The 25,164-nt window shown below is 38.8% G+C and overlaps 1 protein-coding gene across 4 annotated transcripts in view, besides 1 other annotated feature; it reads right to left on the reverse strand.

Moving 5' to 3' along the window:
* LSAMP (limbic system associated membrane protein) overlaps positions 1-25,164 on the reverse strand; it is a 643,114-nt gene that overhangs the window by 380,794 nt on the left and 237,156 nt on the right. The gene's annotated exons all lie outside the window — the stretch shown is intronic.
* Positions 15,002-15,502: an enhancer, noted in NCBI's record as "H3K4me1 hESC enhancer chr3:115917016-115917516 (GRCh37/hg19 assembly coordinates)". NCBI's record gives its function as "activates a minimal SCP1, AML or CMV promoter by ChIP-STARR-seq in primed H9 embryonic stem cells {active_cell/tissue: H9 hESC(primed)}" and the evidence as "EXISTENCE:reporter gene assay evidence [ECO:0000049][PMID:30033119]".

Raw genomic sequence — 25,164 nt, forward strand, 5'->3', positions numbered from 1 at the left:
AACTAAACTGATAGATGATCTCCTTTTTAAGGAAACACCCTAGATTTAAAACTGAGGAAACAAGACATGGTTGCATCCCACACCTCCAGCATGGCTATGCACACTTTTGTAAGTACCAGAGAAATTCAATTAAATTCATCATGATTGCATGCTTATTGCATGGAAGGCACAGCATAAAGTGTTGAAAGATATGTACAAGTAAGACAATGACCTTGAAAAGGTTTTTAACTTGTGGGAATAGAGGATAGTGTATCAGGTAAGAAATAAACACATACACAGGTATTAGGGCAGTGTTATGGGTTAGTTAGAGCATATGGGCCCTTGAAGTAGATAGAAATGGGTATGTACATCAGTCTCAACTTTTGGGTTGGGTTATTTTGAACAAGTTACTTTACATTTTAGAGCATAAGTTTCCTTATTTCTAAAATGATGATAATGGTAGTATTTACCTAATAAGATAGAGTTTCTGGCATACTGTTATTCAAATAAATGACAGTTGCCCATTTAGTATTAATATAGGGGTCATCTTTATATTTTAGTGAATAGTCACCATTTCTGATTAGAACACCTATAAAGGTTTCTAAGAGGCAAAGATTACATTTAAAAGCATCCCTGATAATAAAAATAGCAAGAAGAAAAATAAAGTGATATCAAAATTAGGACACATTTTGAGGAAGAACCAGTAGGACACATCAGAGTAGAGAGAAAAATAGGCAAATGAGCAGAGGAAAAGTTGTAGATACTGGGTTGATTGATTCCTAATGATGGAGGACATTAAATATCATGTGAATGGATACAGGAGCAATTCTATAAGCAATAAGGCTTTTGAACAGGAGGAAAAAACATCATCATATGTGCTGTACGATGTCAACTTTAGTACAGATACGAAAGTTGAACTCGAGAGAACAGAAAGTAGAATCTGGGAGACTCATTAAAAGACCAGGTCACATGAAGGATTAGAAGGCTCTGAAATCATTTTTATCATCATCATATCTTCATCATCAGCTTCCTTATCATCATCGTTATAGCTAAATGTATCAAACTTTGCATGTATCAACTAATTTAACTTTACCACAACCCAATGATGGATTTTACTACCATTATTTCCAGTTTACAGATGAGAAAAGAGAGGCACACAGAGGTTAAGTAACTTGATAGCTCTTACTAAGTGGAAAGACAAGGGTATAAATCCTGGCAGTTGACTCTACTATCTTTATTCTTAGTCATTATATTACACTGAATCTTGGAGGTAAGTACAGAAGTTCACTGTCATTTCAAGACGGAATCTATATGACCAGGTAACTGAGTGAGGTATAGAAATGAGGAAGAATAAGGGAGTCAAAAATAACTCAGACATTTTGACCTGGGGTAACTGGGATTTGGGGGTATCTTTAAAAATATAAAATTTGGTGCAATAGAGTTTAATTTTTAGCAGGAGGGTTTGAAGATTGTGTTGCAGGTACCTGCAGGCACACTTGAGCTTCAGATACGATTGCTTGCTAACAGACTCAGTTAACTGATTGAAAGACATTTTTAGTATGATATATATTTTTAGTGCCTTTTATGGGATCCTGCTATATTTAGGGGCCTTCTAGAATTCTGCTTGCTTGGTGCTGAATCTTGCTGGTTGATTTTTCCTAGTTCCTTTTCTTTGTTTTTCTCTTTCTCAAAGATTTTATTTTTCTCTTTCCAACAACAGATTCTTTGACTTCACTGGATATTCACAGTTTTGTTTTCCTTTCACCATTCCATGATCTGTTTGATTCTCAGAATACATATATATTGAATTTCTAATGAAGTCTTCTAAATGTTTCCAGATTTCTTGTGGTTTAACTGCAGATTTTTTCTTTCTTTCTTTCTTTCTTTTTTTTTTTTTTTCAGTTCTCACATTTTGGCACAGTTTCCTTTCCTGGAGATTAATAGCTGGGTGATAGATTTCTTCATTTTTCCCTTCTCCCTCCAGAATTTTGTGATTTTATTTTTTACACATTTACACATACCTCCAGCATCAGTTTTTGTTTAAATATAAGGATCATCTCCAGACATATTCTTTTCATTTGAGTTCTAAACACCTACTGTAGAATGTAGTTAGTTACTTACCTCATCTGAAAATCTTATCATGTCTTTTTTCCCCAATGTGGGTATTCATACACTTCATATGTGGCCAGCTCTTAACCCTGAATATTGATACTTGCTCTTCTTTTACAGATGCTCTGGGTTGCTTCATATTTTAAGATCAGGCTCACTGTTTTGAAGAGACAGGTTAGAGTGTATCCCTATGACCTCATTTTATTATTTGTATTCTTCCACACACACAGGGATTCTATCATACTGGGTTTTCTTTATACTATAAGGTTTTTACTCAGTTTTCATTTATACTCTCCTTCATGTACAAGATGTCCCTTATGTATCTTCCTCATAGATTTTGCAGGCTACACTCATTATACTCTATTGGTTACCTTTTCTCCTTCAAGCCACCTAGTATTAAATACAGTTATCTTAACATATTCAACAGATGTTGAATATAGTGCAGTGCTTTGAAACATTCTAATTGTCATTCTTCAACAGTAAATTAATGTTCAGGCTTTTTAAATTCACTGTAGTGGCATGAAAGATTTCCAGGAGAAAATTATTTATCTAGCTGTTTCCTGCTCCACACCCAGTGCTATTACTTACTGCTGAAAATGGAGGAGTTGGGGTAAAAGGCGGGAAGGAGGAAAAAGAAGCAAAAAAAAAAAAAAAGACCTCTTTAGTTTCTCCTTTAAAGAAAAGTAATGATTTTCTCCTGGAAGGAAATCAAAGGCTGCATGAAATGTCTACCCCTTTAAAAAAATGTAAGCTGATTTTTTTAATGCTAGGTACTTTTATCTTTGTAGCTTAAAGGCAAAGAATGAATGAAATGTGGAAAATGAAGGACATGTGACAGCATCAAAGAAGTGAAGCAAAGCTGGAGATTGTGTGTCTGGCTATGTCAGGCCAGGGTGGCCCTTTTTAGGCAGACCATTAAGGCAATCTGGCTGCCAGATGAAGTCTTCATGAAAGGGCAGAAAAGATGTATAAAGTCTTTTTGATGTTTTAAAGGAAACTCTTCTTTATACCTACCCCTCCCTCTTTTCCTCCATCATCTTGTCCCGACCAATGCCATCTCCTCTTGCAAGGCAAACCACAACCATCTGTAGAAGTGTTTTATGTTTTAGAGCATTTGGATCTTGGCTTGATCTCTATCTTGAGTGATACAGGGTACATTTTTAGTTTCTGCTGGGAGAAAATGGTGAATTCCTGTGTAGAATTGGTAGAAGCCTCTAGGACATTTTGAGAGGCAGTGGTTAATCAGAGTAGAATTAATCAAGTTCTGTTTACCTAATCAAGATAAGGATAATTTCTTGAATAGAATTAATTACATCACACTGGCACCATTAGGACATCCTGACAAATTCCCTCATGTTATACAGAGAAAACCAAGCTTCAAGGACTCACAATTAATCCAATAAAATTATAAGACTGCAATCCATTTCTCCACACTCTTGCTTCTCACACGATATAATCTTTCTCTTTACTTGCAGAAGACCTAAATTAACATTTCTACTTGTGGCTTCTCTTCCTTGGTATTTTACTTTTACTCCTTCCCTCTGTCCTAGAAAATCATTTGACCAGCAGGGCTTGCATCAACTGGATATTATACTTGAATCAGTATATTCAAGTCTGTGGCTTTGAACATAGCTGGGTCAGCATAGAAGAAAGGCCTTGCTATGCATAAGACTATTTCTAATGGTGGTAGGTTGAAGGAGGGGCAACCAGGTGGTGGGAGGGGTGGTGATGTGTATGTAGTAATGCTCATATTCACTGAGACAATAAAAAACACAACAAAGAATGTATTATGCTCTTATCCTGATGTCTCTGATCTTCATAGTTCTTCTAAATTAAATGTTTTCAACCCCTTTATCCTTCAGCTCTATGTCAGCTTCTTGGCCTATTTTGCACGCTTTTCATATTGCACATGGTGCACAGGTGGTGTAGGTGATGCCACATTAGTTTAGCAGAATATCCTAGTGATGTGTAATGAAAAAGTGGACTGGCTCAAGGGGAAACCAAAGATACCATAAATTTAAGCTCTAACTGCCAATATCCATGTGGGTATCTTTGAGCAAATTACAGATGGTAAACCTAGCCCAGAAAGATGATGAAAAATGAAGATGGTATTAGATTTCCTGAATTTTAAACTGCTTTTCAATACTAGCTATCTCAAAGAACCAGAGAAAAAGAAAAGAAAAAAAATGCAGCCTTTTATTCCTTGTTTGCCTGGTTTCTACTTTCCACTCTTCTTTCTCAATTACAGTGATCTTTCTATTACCTCAAAATGTCAGCAGTGCATTTTTTCAAAGCATCAAGAACCCAGCAAACATGAAAGTTTTATATTCTTCCTATTCCTTTTCCACTTGACAAAAACCTCTTCCTTCATAGATATTACACAGTAAGGTACTGAGTTATGAAACTTCCCTTTGACTCACACAGCATCTTTCTTTTCCCAGCACATAGCTTCTTTACAATACCCATACCAAAGGTATATCACATTCTGATTTATTTTATATAGTTACAGAAGGGATAATCTTCCCTTTGTACACATTTTTTTCACTTTTATTTTATGTTCAGGGGTACATGTGCAGGTTTGTTACATAGGCAAACTTGTGTCATGGGGGTTTGTTGTACAGATTATTTCATCACCCAGGTATTAAGCCTAGTACCCATTAGTTATTTTTCCTGATCCCCTCTCTCCTCCCACCCTCCATCCTCCAATAGGCCCCAGGATGTTTTGTTCCCCTCTGTGTGTCCGTGTGTTTTCATCATTTAGCTCCCATTTATTAGTGAGAACATGCAGTATTTTGTACACGTTTTTCTATGCAAATCATTCCAACACATAAAAACAACAGGCCCTTTCAAAGTTCATTGGTGCTCCTTACTGGTGTCAAATATCATATCTATATGACCTTAAATGCCCTCCCCATCCAGACCACTTGTTAGTGGGAGTTCTTTGCCTCACTTAGTGATCGTGCTATGTATAAGGAAAAGCAGATGTACAAAAGCCATGGCCTCTAAAGGGCCTCCTGTCAGACCCATGCTTTTCCAGGGAGACCCCCCAGGAACAGTTAACTTTGAGATCATATGCAGCTCTATTGATTAAAGGTCTAATTTGATACCCTACAACATATTTATGAATGCCTGGTATCTGCATGTTTCCTGACAGAAGCCCCTTGGGAGCCATTAATCTGTGAAGCCTCAGGGCTTCTTTCTTGGCCTAAAATCCCAGGGACTTTGCTGCTTTTCATTGGCAGCTGCCAAAACTGACTCCATCCTCTTGACTTTCTAGTCTCCCTTTAGCCTGTTTGTGGGGTAAAATGCAGTCTGTTTATTTGCTCTCAAGTTCTTGCTGGCCCTGCTAGATTCACACAAGCTTCTTTTATTGTAACCTAATGATATATTATGAATCACTCCTGGGAAACGGGATAAGAATAACAAAACAAAGTGATGCGTTTATTTGCTCACTTAACATGTATTTCTTGAGCTTCTACTATATTGCGGGAATGGGGGAATTCAAAAGTAATTAAGAAATGATGTCTTTCTCTAAGAGGCTCCCAGTCTAACACAAAGCTCACATATACTCAGCAGAAACTACGATAGAAAGATGAATGAGGAATGGGAAAAGCACAGTGAGATTGACCATTGATTAAAAATCTTCCAGAACTGTTAAAAGTCTTTGCAGTCTTCATCTCATCAGTATTGATCAGTCATGCATTTTATTCATTAATGCAACAATTACTTCTGAGCAACTACTACAAGTCAACTTTATTCTAGGTGCTGGAAACACGATAATAAAGACCAACTAATTCATAAGCTTCTATTCTAGTGAGGGAATAATAAACAGATAATAAACAAGTAAACATATAGTTTCAGTTCATGGTAAGTACTATGAACAAAAAGTGGATAAAGATTAATATATGGTCATTGAAGGCCACTCTGAGGAGGGGACATTTCAGTGGAAGCCTGAATGAAGTAAGGCAGAGAGACCTAAGTGGTGGTCTAGATAAATAATTTTCCTGGTATAAGGAAGTGCAATAGAAATATTTTTGAGAAGAGAGTGGTGTTGGCATTTTTGCAGATCACAAAGAAACCCTGCATAGATACAGCAGAGCCTCTCAACTGGCTGTAGTGGGAATATTTACACCAAGGAAATTGGCAAGTGCTACGAATCAAGGCTTCCTCTGGGTCTGGATGACATTCAGAAAATACTGTGTCTGGGCAATGTCACACATCTACAGAAAAAGCCCATTTATTTCTCAGACCTCGAAAAGCAAAACCACCTCAGTTCTAGGGAAGGCCTTCAACAGAGATGGACAATCCCAGAAACTCAGCCCTGTGAACACATTGCCTGCAAACTTCCAAAGCTGCTTGGATTCAGGGTAGAAGAAACGATTAGAGAAGGTCCTACAATGCATTTTGGTGTAAGTTTTTAAGTGGCCTATATCATTACAAAAGGAGTCATGATCCCCCTTTTTAATAATTGCAGAACCCCAATTTTCCTTTTGTACTTTTTGTCATGGGGTGATATCAGATTCATCACATGTAAATGACAAGTAAAAGAGACATTGGCCTGTACAAGAGTGGGAACACAAATAAGTTGTACAGAAAGATGAAACAATCATTTTGTAGTTTAAAAATACTGAGCAAATTTCCTGTTTTTAACAAGCACGAGAGATTCAAAAACCAGACACCTAGACTTAGTGATTCCACAATGCATATATACATCAAAACATCATGTTGTATATGGTAAATATGTACAATTTTACCTTTCAATGTAAAAAATAAGTTTTTTAAATAACAGAACCAAAAACCAGACACCACTATGAGCCTCAGGTCCAGTAGTAGACACACACACACACACACACACACACACACACACACACACATGCATTAAGAAATCTCCACAGCTAAAATCTTTTTAAGTCTGCTGGATGATCTCCCCACCTCCATTCCAAATTCCTGGATGGTGCACTTGTCACGCAAGAAACTGAAACAATTATATGTGATATGTAATTAAGCATCTATACTTGCAGTGAGTGATAGATTTACCTTCCTTTCCCCCCTTTTTATTAGACGCAGCCCAGAGATAAAACCTTCAAGTTATGAGTAATTATACCCTGCTGAGAAAAGTGATAGAGTGCTACACTCAGAAGGACTTACGAAGCCCTGAAAATGTGGAGTCAACACTTAAGACTTTTTTTTTTTATTATTATTTTCCCCAACACTAACAGTTTCCCAGCTTGTTCCCAGAGGGAGATAAACAAACAGTGTGTATCTGCATTTTAATGGGAATAAACAGGACTGGCCTATTCACTTTTTTACAACACTGGCTTCATATTTCCAAACCAGTGGGATACAGTAAAAAGTGTATGCATCATAGACAGTGGAAAGCTACAAGGAAGGTAATATTTTCTATTATTATATATGTAATTTTGGAATAAATGGGATCATAACATTTTGTTAACAAGCCTTCTTAGCCACCTAGAATCCTCTTTCAGTTGGTGCTAGACAATGGAGAATTACCCTTAGATGCCTTCTGAGGCCTTGGTAAGTCAGATGCCCTCCCATCTTGGGCATCTTTGGTGGAGAAAAACACAAGAACAAAGAACCACTGGTCTTCCTAGAGTTCACGTCTATTCCAGCTTCAACATGTGCTACTCTGAAACCTTATTTAAGGGTGGAACAAAATAGTTGAATTTGTGAGGCTGTGTCAAATTTAGTTTTCTAAGACTCATGGTTTTATGCCAGGCTCAGTGGATACTTAAAACATTGGTTGTCACACTGTAGTTTGTGTAAAAATTAGCTGTATTGCTACTAAAAGTACAAAAAATTAGCCCGGCGTGGTGACTCGTGCCTGTAGTCCCAGCTACTCGGGAGGCTGAGGCAGGAGAATGGCCTGAACCCAGGAGGTGGAGCTTGCAGTGAGCCAAGATTGCGCCACTGCACTTCAGCCTGGGCAATAGTGCAAGACTCTGTCTCAAAACAAACAAACAAACAAACAAAACGAATGCAAATGTCTATCCTCCATACACAGAAACTGTTTTGATTGGCTTGGGGTGAGGGTCAGGAATCTGCATTTTAATAAGAACGCAACATAAGAGATACTGATGAAGTGGTCCAAGGGGCAAACATTGAGACATCACCCTAAGGGATCTACAGGTGGGTTTTAGGAAGCCCGTGAATGCCAGATACTGAATGATATTGTGTGAGTTTTTAGGACTGCACATTTTTGAGGGGATTCCCAAATGACTCTGCAGCCCAGGAAGGTTAAGAACCTTTCAGGGCATGAGACAGTTTAGGGCTGAGGATTCCAGTCAACTTTTGGATCCCAGCCAGCTTCACTGAATCCCAGGACAATTCAGCAGCTTGGTTTAGGAAATGGAAGTAATTTCCTTGGCCCATCTAGTTTCCGGGTTTAGCTCTTCTGTCTTGAATCAGGTTTTTGTGCCATTCCATTTTCTCAACATTCCTGCATGGTATTCCTGCAATTAGCCAATGACTTATTTCAGGAACCTAATGGGGCTTCTAAAGCAAGATTTTCTAAATTATAATAGTTTTTTTTTGATTAGTGAATAATAAATGTTAAAAATGTACAAATCATATCTCTGAATTCTTTTCATCCATATCCAAGCATCAGATTTAACTCTTTCATCACTTAGATAAACATGACTAACTTGAAGTGTGATCTCCAGTAAATTACTTAGTAGCCACAGGCCTTAGCTTCTCCATCTGCATACTAGGAACACAAATATCTGTCTGAATTTCTGAATTACTGAGGGAAAAAAAAGAGATAACAAACATAACCTAACCTAATAATCATTTAAAATATTCTATTACAGCAATGTATTATTCTTGTAACTAAAACATTTGTGTGACTTCTGTGGCTTCATGATTGTTAAATTCATGGGAACAGATGTCATTGTATTGGATATTAATACAACAATTCATGAGCCAAACAAGGGCTTAGACAAGGGCTTTCTGATTGTTCCGATCAGTGAGAGGTAGCTTGAGAAGCACCTCTTGCTGCAGTGATGATGCAGGAGTAAACATAAGAATTGGAAGGAAATGGAACAAGAGCAGATGTATGAGGAAATGCCAGACACCAGTTCTAAATCCTAGAGCTCCATCTACTTCTTATTCTTTAATCACTTGCTTCCCTGCCCAGCCATCCTCACCAATATTGGCATTCCATTACTCTCTCAATTTCTCTGTCTTCTTTAGTAAACCTTTGTCTCTTTCGTTTTTCTTCTCTCTGCCTGAGTCTTTGCCTCTTTCAGTCTCACTCATTTTCCCTGTATCTCCCAATACACTGGTGGGAATGAGATTAGAGAGAATAAGTTGGAAGATGTGAAGGCATATGAAAACATTATTAATAAGTGACACCTGGAAAGATGGAAAATTAAAGAAAAGTATTAGGTGATGAGTCAGCAAAGATAGAAAAATGGTCAAGTTTCTGCCCTACTCCAAATCATTTCTGTTACAACCTTGTCAATGGTTAGTGCTGTGCTACTCCATGTTTCCAGTGGTTTTTCTTTTGAAGCAATTAGGTTATTGGAATAGATGATATCTAAGGACCTTTTCAGCTCTGAAAGCCTGGCTAATGATCAGGGAGCTATTCATGACAAAGACTAAATTTCCACTCTAATTTCCTCTACCTGGTAAATGTAATTGGATTACATTGGTACCAGAGGTGCTTCAACCACCACTTAATTAGACAATTTTATAGTGCTTTGCCAACAACTGCACTGTAATAGAACAACTCCACGGTAGATGAATAGTTTCCTGTACAATTACAAATGAGGATGAGGGCGATGTTATTATTCTTTACTTTTCTAATGCTTTATTATTTATAAAGCACATTCATATACATAAACTTACTATGTCCTCCCTAAAATCATGAGTTAAAGGTTTTACAAATTTACATTTTATAAATGAGACTGCTATGCTTGCAATTATTTGATTTGTTCAAGGTTAAACAGGGATAGTAAGGCGTCTTTTATCATACAAAAAGGTAAATCAATGCCTGATTGTCCAACTTCTCCTCTGGTGTTAGGGAAACTGGAGGACTTGAGCTCATTCAGGCAGGATCTTCTTCAAAGTTCCCATCTATGGAGTTATTTGTCATAATAGACATGACTGACAAGCCTTGGAATCATTAATTCCTGGTAGAGAAGTTCAAAAAAGCATTTGTTTTTGAAAAGCAGGATACCATTTGTCTTGTCATGTAAAGATTTTTCAAAGGTAAATGAAATGCTCCCCATCTGAAAGACTTGGTGAGCCTTGTAAAAACAGCAACAACAACAAAAAAAGTATATTTACAAACAAACAAAAAAAACAACGCTTGCAGTAAGCCAGACATTGTGCTAGACAATGACTGATCTCGTTTTGCAACACATGCTTCATTTTGGTATTGAAACAAGCTCAAATTCATATTAAAAACAGAAGCTGGAGAAGACCAGAAATCCTGGCCACCAAAATGTAGGAAAATACATCTAGTATTTCCCACCCTTCCACCCATACTATGTAACTAAATAAAACATTACAGTGAAATGAAGACTACAATGCCAGGAAAGTTAAACATGAAAACACCAGCTAAAACAACAAAATAATAAGTCCAGTGCTTTTTATGAATTAAACACCACATCATCACCAGCTCTACAGTCATCATCCCTTTGCTGACCCTAGTTCAGTCACACATCCACTTCTTTAGTTGTGCACAGTGTTTGCTAAGTCATGATGAGTTTCAGACAGAAAACGGAAAGCCAGTTGCAGTCAGGGTGCAATTGGAACTGACCATTCTAAAGCTTACCAGTTAACGCAATCCGACTCCTATAGGAGAGAAATCAGGGTTAAAAGCACATCACATTAGGAGGAGGTGGCAAAGGTGAGAGAGGTAAGGGGTGATGGCCATTAGAAGATGAATGCCAGATTTTTCCATGTAAACTAGTATATAGGAAGCTGAAGATGGACAAATGCTCATGGCTCCCATGGGAGACCTCAGATAGAAATGCAGAGAAGGGTCGAGGAGCAATATAGGCAGCGGAAGACACAAACCGAAAAAAGCCATAATCCTTTTCAATTTCTCCCGTGGATCCCAAAGAATCAAACTGCAGTACTGATGTGGGGAATTGTTTTTTGTTTGTTTGTTTGTTTGTTTGTTTGTTTGTTTGAGTCAGAGTCTCGCTCTGTCGCCCAGGCTGGAGTACATTGGCATGATCTCAGCTCACCGCAAGCTCCGCCTCCCGGGTTCACGCCATTCTCCTGCCTCAGCCTCCCGAGTAGCTGGGACTGCAGGAGCCCGCCACCACGCCCAGCTAATTTTTTCGTGTTTTTTAGTAGAGACGGGGTTTCACCGTGTTAGCCAGGATGGTCTCCATCTCTTGACGTCGTGATCCGCCCACCTCGGCCTCCCAAAGTGTTGGGATTACAGGCGTGAGCCTCCGTACCCGGCCGGGGGATTCCTAAATAGCCCACTACGCCTCCTATCCTTCCCAATTCCTGCCTAATGCTCAGCTAAATCATTGATCGAGATTGAGGTTTGGTATGATACAAAGAGGGGCTTATTAAGATGATCAGAGACAATCATAGGTCTTGACATTAAAGTAGATTTGAAAAAACAAAGTAGATTTGGGGAAATCATTAAACTAGATTTGGGAGAATATACACTTCCATGCTGGTCCTTGACCTATTATTCTAAAAGTTATTCTTCATTCTTTCCCTTCTTTTCTGAATCACTGTGCAGCAGACTGGTACAGGCTGTATTTCCCAGGATCCCCTGCCAACTGGGTTCATTCAGAGAGATGTGCTAACAGAAAACTAGAGTATGAGGGCAGGGAGTAGGCACTGTATTGATCTCCCTTTTCCTCTGCCTTGGTCATAGTCTTTGGAGATGGCTATATTTCCTCTAGAGATCAATCCCTTGACTCCAGTAACCCCAATTCCCCTCCTTTGTCTCTCCAGTTGATGCTAGTCACTGGGTTACTCACTGCCCTCTAATTGGCTTTTCAAAATTTCATCACTTCTGTGTTACAAATATTTGAATTGAATGTTCTTTATTTTAAAACTGAGTGATTTCTGACTCCTGTTTCCTGAGTGTGTCTTCACCAATACAACCATCTTTTTTTCAGGCTTTCTATTATTAAAAGCAATTTTAATATTTCTGATTAAATAAATTTTCTCATATCAGTATTAATATACCACAAATATAATTAAACAGCCAATATATACAATTCAACTATCTCACCTAAACAGTTTCTAAATTTCTCCTAAATTGGTATGACAATAAACCAACATCAGTTTGTAATGTACCACAACTAATATTGTCTAAACTATGAACAAGAAGCAAAATAAATTGACAGAAGGAAAGTTGAAATAGCACATACTTAGTCAGTTTTGGTAAAGATGGAAGCCCAAAAGTAAATGAATATATTTTTAAAAAACTGTTCTAGGATAAAAGTCTTTTAGAAAAAAAAATGAAAAAAAAAAAACATTTAAAGGAAAAGTCTCTTCATAAAGCAGTGTTTTGCAAAGATTTTTTCATAGATCGATTATGTTGGAATCACCCAGGTTCTTACTAACAATATTAGATTGTTCCTAGTCCCTACCCTAGATTGACTAAATTAGAATCTTTGGTGTGTTGGATCCAAGAATCTATTTTTAAAATAAGCATACTTAGCGATGTTTATATGTATTAAGTGATGAGATTCATTGCCCTAAAAATGAAAATAGAATACTATTTATTGGTCACTATAAATCAATGAGCTAGTAATTGTTTGATAGTTAGTGCAAAGTCCACGTTTCAGAAATGTAAACACTTTTTTTGCATAGAGACTGAGCCATAAGGGTCAGTGCCCTTCACCTCATCTTCTCATTGATCATCCGAGGACTTTCAGGAATATTCAGCTAAATTTTTATATGCGGAGGTCTTTAGCTAAATTCTGATATAATTTTGACTAAGATTACTAGTAAGTACTCAAGGGGACAGATTTTAATCCTCATTTAGAGTGATGTTAGGCTTCATTTCATTATAGCAACTAGAATAATTCCTGGCTCTAAGTCTTCTGTAAATATTTGATGATAAGATTAATTATTTTATTCATCTCTTTATTCACAGAACCTAATACAGTGTCCAACTATCAATATATATTTTTTGACAACAATTGATGAGAATTCTACTAAACTCACTCATGTCATGCGAATTGACCAGTGGGTAGAAACATTTGAGAATCCTATCTCAAGTAGATCATAACTAGTAATAGTATTGATTTTATTTCTCCCCGATATACTATCTAAGCTATAATGTTCATTATTCAGGGATTTTTATTTGAGCTATTCATTGCCAGGATAAAACTTCAATTTTATATGAAAACTGTAGGGAAAAAGAGGTCAGAGAAATAATTTAGATTAAAAAAAGTAGCAGAAATTTTTTCCTCCTAGAGACCTGCCTTATCACGTGTAGTCAAAATATAAAGCTAGTTCCTGTTATGGGTAAAATTTTAAAGTGCTGAAGTGTATCAGTCTCACTTTGCTCCCCATTATTTCATTCATTGTACTTTCTGGGGCCCTTTCCTTTGGGTTACCCTCCCACCAGGCACTCCTTCATTCAGGATCTCACATCCTTCTTGGGCTCCCACTCCTTTATGCCTGCTTCTGCAGAACAACTCCTGAGAGCATCCATTAACTGGGTTTTTCATTGCTATGTCTCTCATTCGTTATTCTCTTCATCTTGAGCCCAAACTGTCTGCACCTCCCAAAAGGTCCATTAAATGAAAGGGCAGACTAGAAGCCATTCAGTGATTCTCTTCCAAATAACAAGTACTTTGTATCAGCAGTCTCTGATAAAATGGGGGTCCCCTGGTGAGGCCTAAAACAAAAGTATCCCACTCGGACACACACACACACACACACACACACACACACACTCTCTCTCTCTCTCACTCACTTTGTCTAGGTTCTGTCACCCACTCCCTGTTGTAACCTTTCTCTGTCCTCTCTTTCCAGAATAAGTTTAGGAGAGAGACAAGAACTGCATGAGTGCAGACTATAGGTCTGAAATTTATAACTTTGTCCTTGTCACTTCTCCTTCCAAACGTCTCACCTCCAAAACTCAGATGGAGCCAGCTGCTTCAAGATGCAGACAACATCATCTTTTTTTTTAAACTATAGTGCAGGCAATCATGGTTTACAAACTAGTTTGAAGTATACAAACTCACCTTACTCAGCTAGATCGGATAAGTTACAACTCTACAGACTCAGCATATTAAGTTAAAAATTGCTTAAAGCACTGTGCCAACTCTTCAATGTCTTTCTTATTTCACTTTCTAGGCAGGGCAGCAGATTTCTTCTCAGTCATTTTGAATTGCTCTATTTTCTTGTCATTATAATCTTAATTCTTCTATTTCAGTATCAAGCCATCTATTTCAAATTATTCTTAATAATGAGAATCTCTGGTTCTGCGGAAGAACACTGGGAAACTGACAGTCAGGGATCCGTATTTTTATTTTACAGATGTCTTTTCTGGGCATCTACTGAGCACTGGTATGAGATCCGATCCTTGCTTCCAATGATATATACAGTTCAGTAGTGGGCAAACACATTTATGGACAACTTTATTATAATAGGATGTATAGTATTGTTTATATAGATATTGATATATAGATATAAATATATATGACATTTAAGCTGGAACATAAAGGATAAATCCAATTTCACCAGTCAAAGAAAGGCAGGTAGGTTACTGCACAAAGAGAAACACTATGAGAAATGGCATGGAGATACAGATATATCTTATTCAGGAAAGCAAGAGCCATTCGTGGTGAATAATGTGCAAAGTTGGAATAAAAAAATGAGGAAAGATGACGTTCAAAAGATAAGGGCAGAATGATATGCTAAAAATGCATGAACTTTCTTTTGTGAGCATTTCTGTAGGAAATCAGATGGGAAGTTGCTACTGTTCATAGTGAGAAATGGTGAAGACCACAGTTTACAGGGATAAAAAGGGGAAAATAGACTTGATGTTCCTTTGGGAGATAAGAATCTCCAGTGGTCGGTGACTAATGTGTTATGTAGGTTAAGGGAGAAGAATGAGAACCTCAAAATGCCTCCACAGTTTCAAGTGTTAGTGAGTGATGAAAGAGTTTATTATGAACTGAGATTGAGTACTCCAACAAAAAAGATTTCTGGGTGGGAGTGATGCTTAGTTTTGCTATTTAGAGAAGGAAATTTCTATTAGAAAATCAGAACTGAGCTGGGCACGGTGGCTCACGCCTGTAATCCCAGCACTGTGGGAGGCCGAGGCTGGCGGATCACGAGGCCAGGAGATCGAGACCATCCCGGCTAACACAGTGAAACCCCGTCTCTACTAAAAAAATACAAAAAATTAGCCGGGCTTCGTAGCGGGCAGCTGTAGTCCCTGCTACTCTGGAGGCTGAGGCAGGAGAATGACGTGAACTCGGGAGGCGCAGCTTATAGTGAGCCTGGATGGCGCCACTGCACTTCAGCCTGGGCGACAGAGCAAGACTCCGTCTCAGAAAAAAAAAGAAAATCAGAACTGGACTGGGCGCAGCGGCTCATGCCTGTAATCCCAGCACTTTGGGAGCCTGAGGCAGGAGGGTCACTTGAGCTCCGGAGTTCAAAACCAGCCTGGGCAACACAGGAAGACCCCATCTCTGCAAATAGTTGTTTTTAAAAAATTAGCTGGGCATGATGGTGCATGCCTGTCATTCTACCTACTCAGGAGGCTATGGCAGGAGAATCACTTGAGCCTGGGAGGTCCAGGCTGCAGTGAGCCATGATTGTGTCACTGCACTATAGCCTGTGTGACAGAGCAAGACCTTGTCTCAAAAATAAAATGAAATAAAATAAATAAAAATAGAAAATCAGAACTCAGTAGAAAAATTAGGGTTGAGATGTTTGCTTGTGATTTTTTTTTTTTTAGGATAAAAGCTATAAGGAAGTTTGGAGCTGGGCGGGAAGAAGACTGAGTAGGAAAGCTTAGTCAACACCTACTGTTAAGAAATACATGGTTAATTATTTCTTAAAACTTTAAAACTCAGTTCAGTTAACATTCCTTCCAGGATGCCTTTCCTGATATTCAATCCCAACAATTAGGTGTTCTTTCTTCCTACCTTCAATCTTACCTCTTTTACACTAGTATTATACTTAGCCACAATATTATGTTAGTTCATTTGCTTTTATTTTATCCCCGCTGAAGAAAAGTGTCTAAGAGTGGGACTGTGTCTTATTCAATTTTGTGGTCCCAGAACATATCTCAGTTCTTAGCACAGAGTAGAAGTGTAAGCACTAGTCTTAGCACCTAGTCTGCTAGGATAAATAAATGAGTGAGCAAATAAATGAGTGAGACAGCCATTATCAGGCAAATGTGTAGGCGAGAAGTAGAATGAAGACAAGACAGAATTTCCAGAAGATGAACAGTATGAAATGTTAGAGAGCAGTCAAGTAGAGTGAGATTAGAAGAAGGACTCTATTATTAGATTAAGCAAATAATATTTAATTGTAGGATTTATAAAAAATTTCAGGGGAGAGGGGTCAGAATTAGGTTCATTGATAAGTTTATGAAAGGGAGAAGGTGGTTGTGGCAACCATTGACTATACATGGATAAATTTAGAAAAATAAGGAAAGGTGAATCTATAGATGTTTATATTGGGTGGCAGATCTTATATTTTAGGAAGACAGAAACTTAAAAATGCTTGACAAATGATACATATTTGCAGGTGAGGTAAACTGGAAATGAATGTAGAAGGAGCTGGGAATGAAGGCTATGGTAATAGAATAATCAAAAAATGGGGAGAAAGGTACCTTACAGTTTTACTGTTTTTCAGTCTTACTTTACACACACACACACACACACACACACACACACACAGCTACATGTATAGCAGGAATTTCCTAACAACTTGTTGATCAACTAATAAGAGGTTGAACAGTTCATACGAAATGCTAGCAGAAGAGAGGGCACCATTTTCTGTGGTTACTCTGAGATTTCAGGAAGCTTCAACCACACTACAGGGAGAGGAGGAATAATAACTGGCAAGCTATAAGAGGTGGTTGTCCAGCCACATGCTTAGGTTGAGGATGGTATCATCTGGATATTGTTCCCTAAGTATAGAAATGTGGAATGTGCCATTCCCAATTAAGAGTCTGATACATCCTATCTGTTTTCCTAATAACAGTGGATTTTTCAGAGTCAGGTAGTTGTGACATTCTCATTTACTGTGCAATTCAGTTTATCAAAGACAAAGTCTAGCTTGCCAGACTTGCTTCTCTCTAGCTTCGAGACAATCAGCTCATGACCCCAAACAGGAGACACATAGCCCCCAGGGGCTTCAAATATTCTTTGTCATAAAATCACCCAGTTCCGTTTAAAACCCTGCCAGCGAGCTTGGTTCAGTGATCTCTGCAGCTGTGACTTCAACAGGTTAAAGCTACATCTTGTGAAAAGTGTTCATTTGTTCTAAATTTACCACCCACTAATGCCATGGAGTGACCCTTTGTTCTCCTATGAAGCAACCAAACAAAAAGCAAGAGAAAATAGCAGCCCAAGCTCAGGTAAGCTTGATGCTGCAGTGTTTTCCCCTTTCTTGTTCTCTTCTATTTGTAGGTAAATAAGCATCCAAGCTCCTGTCTGCAAAATTCATCCCAAGCTCCCACCACCTTGTCAAACTCTTCAAGGGAAACATTATTGCCTTAATTGCTTAAGCCCAATTTGCATAATATGGAGCTCTGACAGCCACAAAAACAGGGATGCAAAAAGGAGATTAACAAGTGAGGAGCACGCTTAGCCAACCCTGTGCAGTTTGGAAATGAGAGCAGAGAAGAATTCATCGGATGGGTGGGTTAGCTGTTTGATCCGCTCCCAGTCCCTCCCCGCTGTACCTCCTTCTCCCCATCCCACCTTCAGGTTTGTTTGTTTTTCATTTGCATGCATTGGCTCCTAGCATGTGCCCATGTGCCCAGACTGTTAATTGCCATTCCTAGCAGAGCCTCCTTCAGGCCCTGGTAAAGCTCAGGCAGCATCAGCCAGTACAGATTTAAACACAGCCTTTCCTCTTTACACCAAGCTCATCCAAATATCCAAAATGTTAACACTGCTTGGGAAGGCAGGGACAGTGTCTTAGTCACCTTTGTACCTTTAGTGTCTTTTTATAAAATTAAATTGATATCTCTTTGGAAGAGTCATGGATAGTCAACTCCCATCAGGAACCTCCTGTGCATGGCTGGCAGAGTGCCCCAGTCGCCACAGCAGAATTCTGTCTGTGCCATTCTCTCTCAGAGTATTTTGGGCTGCTTGTTGCCTACAGGTTAATGGACCCCTTAAAATAGCCTCAAATCCAGATCCAGACACCCTGCATTACTTCTGTAAAAGGAGAATGATCTACTTACTCAGGCTCTTGTGCAGGAGACATAGAAACTGAATGCTGTGTTTCATAGCCACTCATAGAACCAGCTGAAGCTGTTCAAGTACGGTGGACTTTGAGTGACTCTTTTCCCCTCAGTATTAACACCTTGACTGGACCTAACTGAAGACTCTTTCCTGACCAAGGAAAAGTGAGACTTATTTTAACCATCTGTGGAGAGAACAATAGATTTATTCAGTCCTCTCAAGGATGCTAGCTTTTCATGTTTAACTGGCACAAACACCAGTAGTGTTTTCCATTCTATTACTCAGAAAACCTTAACATTTCCTCCTCAGCCAACTACTTAGTGGTGTTTCTTGACAAGTTCATAAACTCCCCTCTTCCCCTGTGGTCTTTAATTTATTCTCTGACCCTTATGATTCCAGGTTTGCCTACTTCAGTCATGACTACCCTTATCCCACCAGTCCACACTCTTCTCTCCTCTCCTCTCCTTTACTTTTTTCTTTTCCTTTCCTTTCTTTTCTTTTTTTTTTTAGGCAGAGTCTCGCTCTGTTGCCCAGGCTGGAGTGTTGTGGGGCAATATCATCTCACTGCAACCTCCACCTCCCAGGTTCAAGTGATTCTCCTGCCTCAGCCTCCTGAGTAGTTGGGACTACAGGCGCATGCCACCACACCTGGCTAATTTTTGTATTTAGTAGAGACGGGGTTTCACCATGTTGGCCAGGCTAATCTTGAACTCCTGACCTTGAGTGGTCTGCCCACCACAGCCTCCCAAAGTGCTGGGATTACAAGTGTGAGCCACTGTGCCCAGCCCACACCCTTTGTTTCCTTCTCTTTTTTTTGAGACAGGGTTTTGCTCCATCACCCAGGCTGGTGTGCAGTGGTGCGATCATAGCTCACTGCAGCCTCTACCACCCAGGCTCGAATTATTGTTCCATCTCAGCCTCCCAAGTAGCTAGGACTACAGATGTGAGCCACCACACACAGCTACAGGAGTCCCGCTTTGTTGTCCAGGCTGGTTTAGAACTTTGGGGCTCAAGTGATCCTCCCAACTCAGCCTCCCCAAATGCTGGGATTACAAGTGTGAGCCACCATACCCAAGCACCCTTTTTTTGGCTCATTCCTAAATATATTCAACACTAGTTCCAGTAACTCCTACTCCGGGAAGCCTTTCCTACTCTTCAGTAAACTCCCCTAGGATGCTACCTCCTTGCCTTCTGGCCTGGAAGTTCTCACCTCTGCAAATTAAGTATTCAAGTCCCCAATCATTAAGGGTAAGCACCACTGAAGTTATAGAGGAAAGGACACATAGAAATGTGTTCTTTGTTGCTGAAGTATATAAACACGATTGATTTTTGTGTATTGATTTTGTGTCCAACCACATTTTAAAACTATTTTAGAGGTTCTAAGAGTGTTTAAATCCTCTAGTTTTAGAGAATCATATTTTCTACAAATAATAAGAGCTTTATTTCTTGCTTTCCAATCTTCATGTCTTTTATTTTCCTTTCATGTCTTGCTGCACTGGCTATGAAGCTTTCAGCAGCATGTTGTCATATTGAGCACGTTTGTCTTATTCCTGATACGCAAGGCAATATTTAATTTCACCATTAGGTATTTCATTATGTTCTCTTCAGTAGATTTCCTTTATGAGGTCAAGAAGTTCCCTTCAATTCTAATAGACAAAATGTTTTTATCATGAATATATATAGAATTTGATTAAATGTCTTTTCTCAATTTTTTATACGTACATTTTCTCAAATTTCTTTTTATTTATTTATTTTTTATTTTTTTATTATACTTTAAGTTTTAGGGTACATGTGCACATTGTGCAGGTTAGTTACATATGTATACATGTGACATGCTGGTGCGCTGCACCCACTAACTCGTCATCTAGCATTAGGTATATCTCCCAATGCTATCCCTCCCCCCACCCCCCACCCCACCACAGTCCCCAGAGTGTGATATTCCCCTTCCTGTGTCCATGTGATCTCATTGTTCAATTCCCACCTATGAGTGAGAATATGCGGTGTTTGGTTTTTTTGTTCTTGCGATAGTTTACTGAGAATGATGATTTCCAATTTCATCCATGTCCCTACAAAGGACATGAACTCATCATTTTTTATGGCTGCATAGTATTCCATGGTGTATATGTGCCACATTTTCTTAATCCAGTCTATTATTGTTGGACATTTGCGTTGGTTCCAACTCTTTGCTATTGTGAATAATGCCGCAATAAACATACGTGTGCATGTGTCTTTATAGCAGCATGATTTAGACTCCCTTGGGTATATACCCAGTAATGGGATGGCTGGGTCAAATGGTATTTCTAGTTCTAGATCCCTGAGGAATCGCCACGCTGACTTCAACAATGGTTGAACTAGTTTACAGTCCCACCAACAGTGTAAAAGTGTTCCTATTTCTCCACATCCTCTCCACCACCTGTTGTTTCCTGACTTTTTAATGATTGCCATTCTAACTGGTGTGAGATAGTATCTCATAGTGGTTTTGATTTGCATTTCTCTGATAGCCAGTGATGATGAGCATTTTTTCATGTGTTTTTTGGCTGCATAAATGTCTTCTTTTGAGAAGTGTCTGTTCATGTCCTTCGCCCACTTTTTGATGGGGTTGTTTGTTTTTTTCTTGTAAATTTGTTTGAGTTCATTGTAGATTCTGGATATTAGCCCTTTGTCAGATGAGTAGGTTGCGAAAACTTTCTCCCATTTTGTAGGTTGCCTGTTCACTCTGATGGTAGTTTCTTTTGCTGTGCAGAAGCTCTTTAGTTTAATTAAACCCCATTTGTCAATTTTGTCTTTTATTGCCATTGCTTTTGGTGTTTTAGACATGAAGTCCTTGCCCATGCCTATGTCCTGAATGGTATTGCCTAGGTTTTCTTCTAGGGTTTTTATGGTTTTAGGTCTAACATTTAAGTCTTTAATCCATCTTGAATTGATTTTTGTATAAGGTGTAAGGAAGGGATCCAGTTTCATCTTTCTCCATATGGCTAGCCAGTTTTCCCAGCACCATTTATTAATTAGGGAATCCTTTCCCCATTGCTTGTTTTTCTCAGGTTTGTCAAAGATCAGATAGTTGTAGATATGCAGCGTTATTTCTGAGGGCTCTGTTCTGTTCCATTGATCTATCTCTCTGTTTTGGTACCAGTACCATGCTGTTTTGGTTACTGTAGCCTTGTAGTATAGTTTGAAGTCAGGTAGTGTGATGCCTCCAGCTTTGTTCTTTTGGCTTAGGATTGCCTTGGCGATGAGGGCTCTTTTTTGGTTCCATATGAACTTTAAAGTAGTTTTTTCCAATTCTGTGAAGAAAGTCATTGGTAGCTTTATGGGGATGGCATTGAATCTGTAAATTACCTTGGGCAGTATGGCCATTTTCACGATATTGATTCTTCCTACCCATGAGCATGGAATGTTCTTCCATTTGTTTGTATCCTCTTTTATTTCGTTGAGCAGTGGTTTGTAGTTCTCCTTGAAGAGGTCCTTCACATCCCTTGTAAGTTGGATTCCTAGGTATTTCATTCTCTTTGAAGCAATTGTGAATGGGAGTTCACTCATGATTTGGCTCTCTGTTTGTCTGTTGTTGGTGTATAAGAATGCTTGTGATTTTTGTACGTTGATTTTGTATCCTGAGACTTTGCTGAAGTTGCTTATCAGCTTAAGGAGATTTTGGGCTGAGACGATGGGGTTTTCTAGATATACAATCATGTCGTCTGCAAACAGGGACAATTTGACTTCCTCTTTTCCTAATTGAATACCCTTTATTTCCTTCTCCTGCCTAATTGCCCTGGCCAGAACTTCCAACACTATGTTGAATAGGAGTGGTGAGAGAGGGCATCCCTGTCTTGTGCCAGTTTTCAAAGGGAATGCTTCCAGTTTTTGCCCATTTAGTATGATATTGGCTGTGGGTTTGTCATAGATAGCTCTTATTATTTTGAAATACGTCCCATCAATACCTAATTTATTGAGAGTTTTTAGCATGAAGGGTTGTTGAATTTTGTCAAAGGCCTTTTCTGCATCTATTGAGATAATCATGTGGTTTTTGTCTTTGGCTCTGTTTATATGCTGGATTACATTTATTGATTTGCATATATTGAACCAGCCTTGCATCCCAGGGATGAAGCCCACTTGATCATGGTGGATAAGCTTTTTGATGTGCTGCTGGATTCGTTTTGCCAGTATTTTATTGAGGATTTTTGCATCAATGTTCATCAAGGATATTGGTCTAAAATTCTCTTTTTTTGTTGTGTCTCTGCCTGGCTTTGGTATCAGAATGATGCTGGCCTCATAAAATGAGTTAGGGAGGATTCCCTCTTTTTCTATTGATTGGAATAGTTTCAGAAGGAATGGTACCAGTTCCTCCTTGTACCTCTGGTAGAATTCGGCTGTGAATGCATCTGGCCCTGGACTCTTTTTGGTTGGTAAACTATTGATTATTGCCACAATTTCAGCTCCTGTTATTGGTCTATTCAGAGATTCAACTTCTTCCTGGTTTAGTCTTGGGAGAGTGTATGTGTTGAGGAATTTATCCATTTCTTCTAGATTTTCTAGTTTATTTGCGTAGAGGTGTTTGTAGTATTCTCTGATGGTAGTTTGTATTTCTGTGGGATCAGTGGTGATATCCCCTTTATCATTTTTTATTGTGTCTATTTGATTCTTCTCTCTTTTTTTCTTTATTAGTCTTGCTAGCGGTCTATCAATTTTGTTGATCCTTTCAAAAAACCAGCTCCTGGATTCATTAATTTTTTGAAGGGTTTTTTTGGTCTCTATTTCCTTCAGTTCTGCTCTGATTTTAGTTATTTCTTGCCTTCTGCTAGCTCTTGAATGTGTTTGCGCTTGCTTTTCTAGTTCTTTTAATTGTGATGTTAGGGTGTCAATTTTGGATCTTTCCTGCTTTCTCTTGGCGGCATTTAGTGCTATAAATTTCCCTCTACACACTGCTTTGAATGTGTCCCAGAGATTCTGGTATGTTGTGTCTTTGTTCTCGTTGGTTTCAAAGAACATCTTTATTTCTGCCTTCATTTCGTTATGTATCCAGTAGTCATTCAGGAGCAGGTTGTTCAGTTTCCATGTAGCTGAGCAGTTTTGAGTGAGATTCTTAATTCTGAGTTCTAGTTTGATTGCACTGTGGTCTGAGAGATAGTTTGTTATAATCTCTGTTCTTTTACATTTGCTGAGGAGAGCTTTACTTCCAAGTATGTGGTCAATTTTGGAATAGGTGTGCTGTGGTGCTGAAAAAAATGTATATTCTGTTGATTTGGGGTGGAGAGTTCTGTAGATGTCTATTAGGTCTGCTTGGTGCAGAGCTGAGTTCAATTCCTGGGTATCCTTGTTGACTTTCTGTCTCGTTGATCTGTCTAATGTTGACAGTGGGGTGTTAAAGTCTCCCATTATTAATGTGTGGGAGTCTAAGTCTCTTTGTAGGTCACTCAGGACTTGCTTTATGAATCTGGGTGCTACTGTATTGGGTGCATATATATTTAGAATAGTTAGCTCTTCTTGTTGAATTGATCCCTTTACCATTATGTAATGGCCTTCTTTGTCTCTTTTGATCTTTGTTGGTTTAAAGTCTGTTTTATCAGAGACTAGGATTGCAACCCCTGCCTTTTTCTGTTTTCCATTTGCTTGGTAGATCTTCCTCCATCCTTTTATTTTGTGCCTATGTGTGTCTCTGCACATGAGTTGGGTTTCCTGAATACAGCACACTGATGGGTCTTGACTCTTTATCCAATTTGCCAGTCTGTGTCTTTTAATTGGAGCATTTAGTCCATTTACATTTAAAGTTAATATGGTTATGTGTGAATTTGATCCTGTCATTATGATGTTAGCTGGTGATTTTGCTCGTTAGTTGATGCAGTTTCTTCCTAGTCTCGATGGTCTTTACATTTTGGCATGATTTTGCAGCGGCTGGTCCCGGTTGTTCCTTTCCATGTTTAGCGCTTCCTTCAGGAGCTCTTTTAGGGCAGGCCTGGTGGTGACAAAATCTCTCAGCATTTTCTTGTCTGTAAAGGATTTTATTTCTCCTTCACTTATGAAGCTTAGTTTGGCTGGATATGAAATTCTGGGTTGAAAATTCTTTTCTTTAAGAATGTTGAATATTGGTCCCCACTCTCTTCTGGCTTGTAGGGTTTCTGCCGAGAGATCAGCTGTTAGTCTGATGGGCTTCCCTTTGAGGGTAACCCGACCTTTCTCTTTGGCTGCCCTTAACATTTTTTCATTTCAACTTTGGTGAATCTGACAATTATGTGTCTTGGAGTTGCTCTTCTCGAGGAGTATCTTTGTGGCGTTCTCTGTATTTCCTGAATCTGAACGTTGGCCTGCCTTGCTAGATTGGGGAAGTTCTCCTGGATAATATCCTGCAGAGTGTTTTCCAACTTGGTTCCATTCTCCCCATCACTTTCAGGTACACCAATCAGACGTAGATTTGGTCTTTTCACATAGTCCCATATTTCTTGGAGGCTTTGCTCATTTCTTTTTATTCTTTTTTCTCTAAACTTCCCTTCTCGCTTCATTTCATTCATTTCATCTTCCATCACTGATACCCTTTCTTCCAGTTGATCGCATCAGCTCCTGAGGCTTCTGCATTCTTCACGTAGTTCTTGAGCCTTGGTTTTCAGCTCCATCAGCTCCTTTAAGCACTTCTCTGTATTGGTTATTCTAGTTATACATTCTTCTAAATTTTTTTCAAAGTTTTAAACTTCTT

Source organism: Homo sapiens, chromosome 3 (genome assembly GCF_000001405.40).
Source record: "Homo sapiens chromosome 3, GRCh38.p14 Primary Assembly".
NCBI lineage: Eukaryota > Metazoa > Chordata > Mammalia > Primates > Hominidae > Homo > Homo sapiens.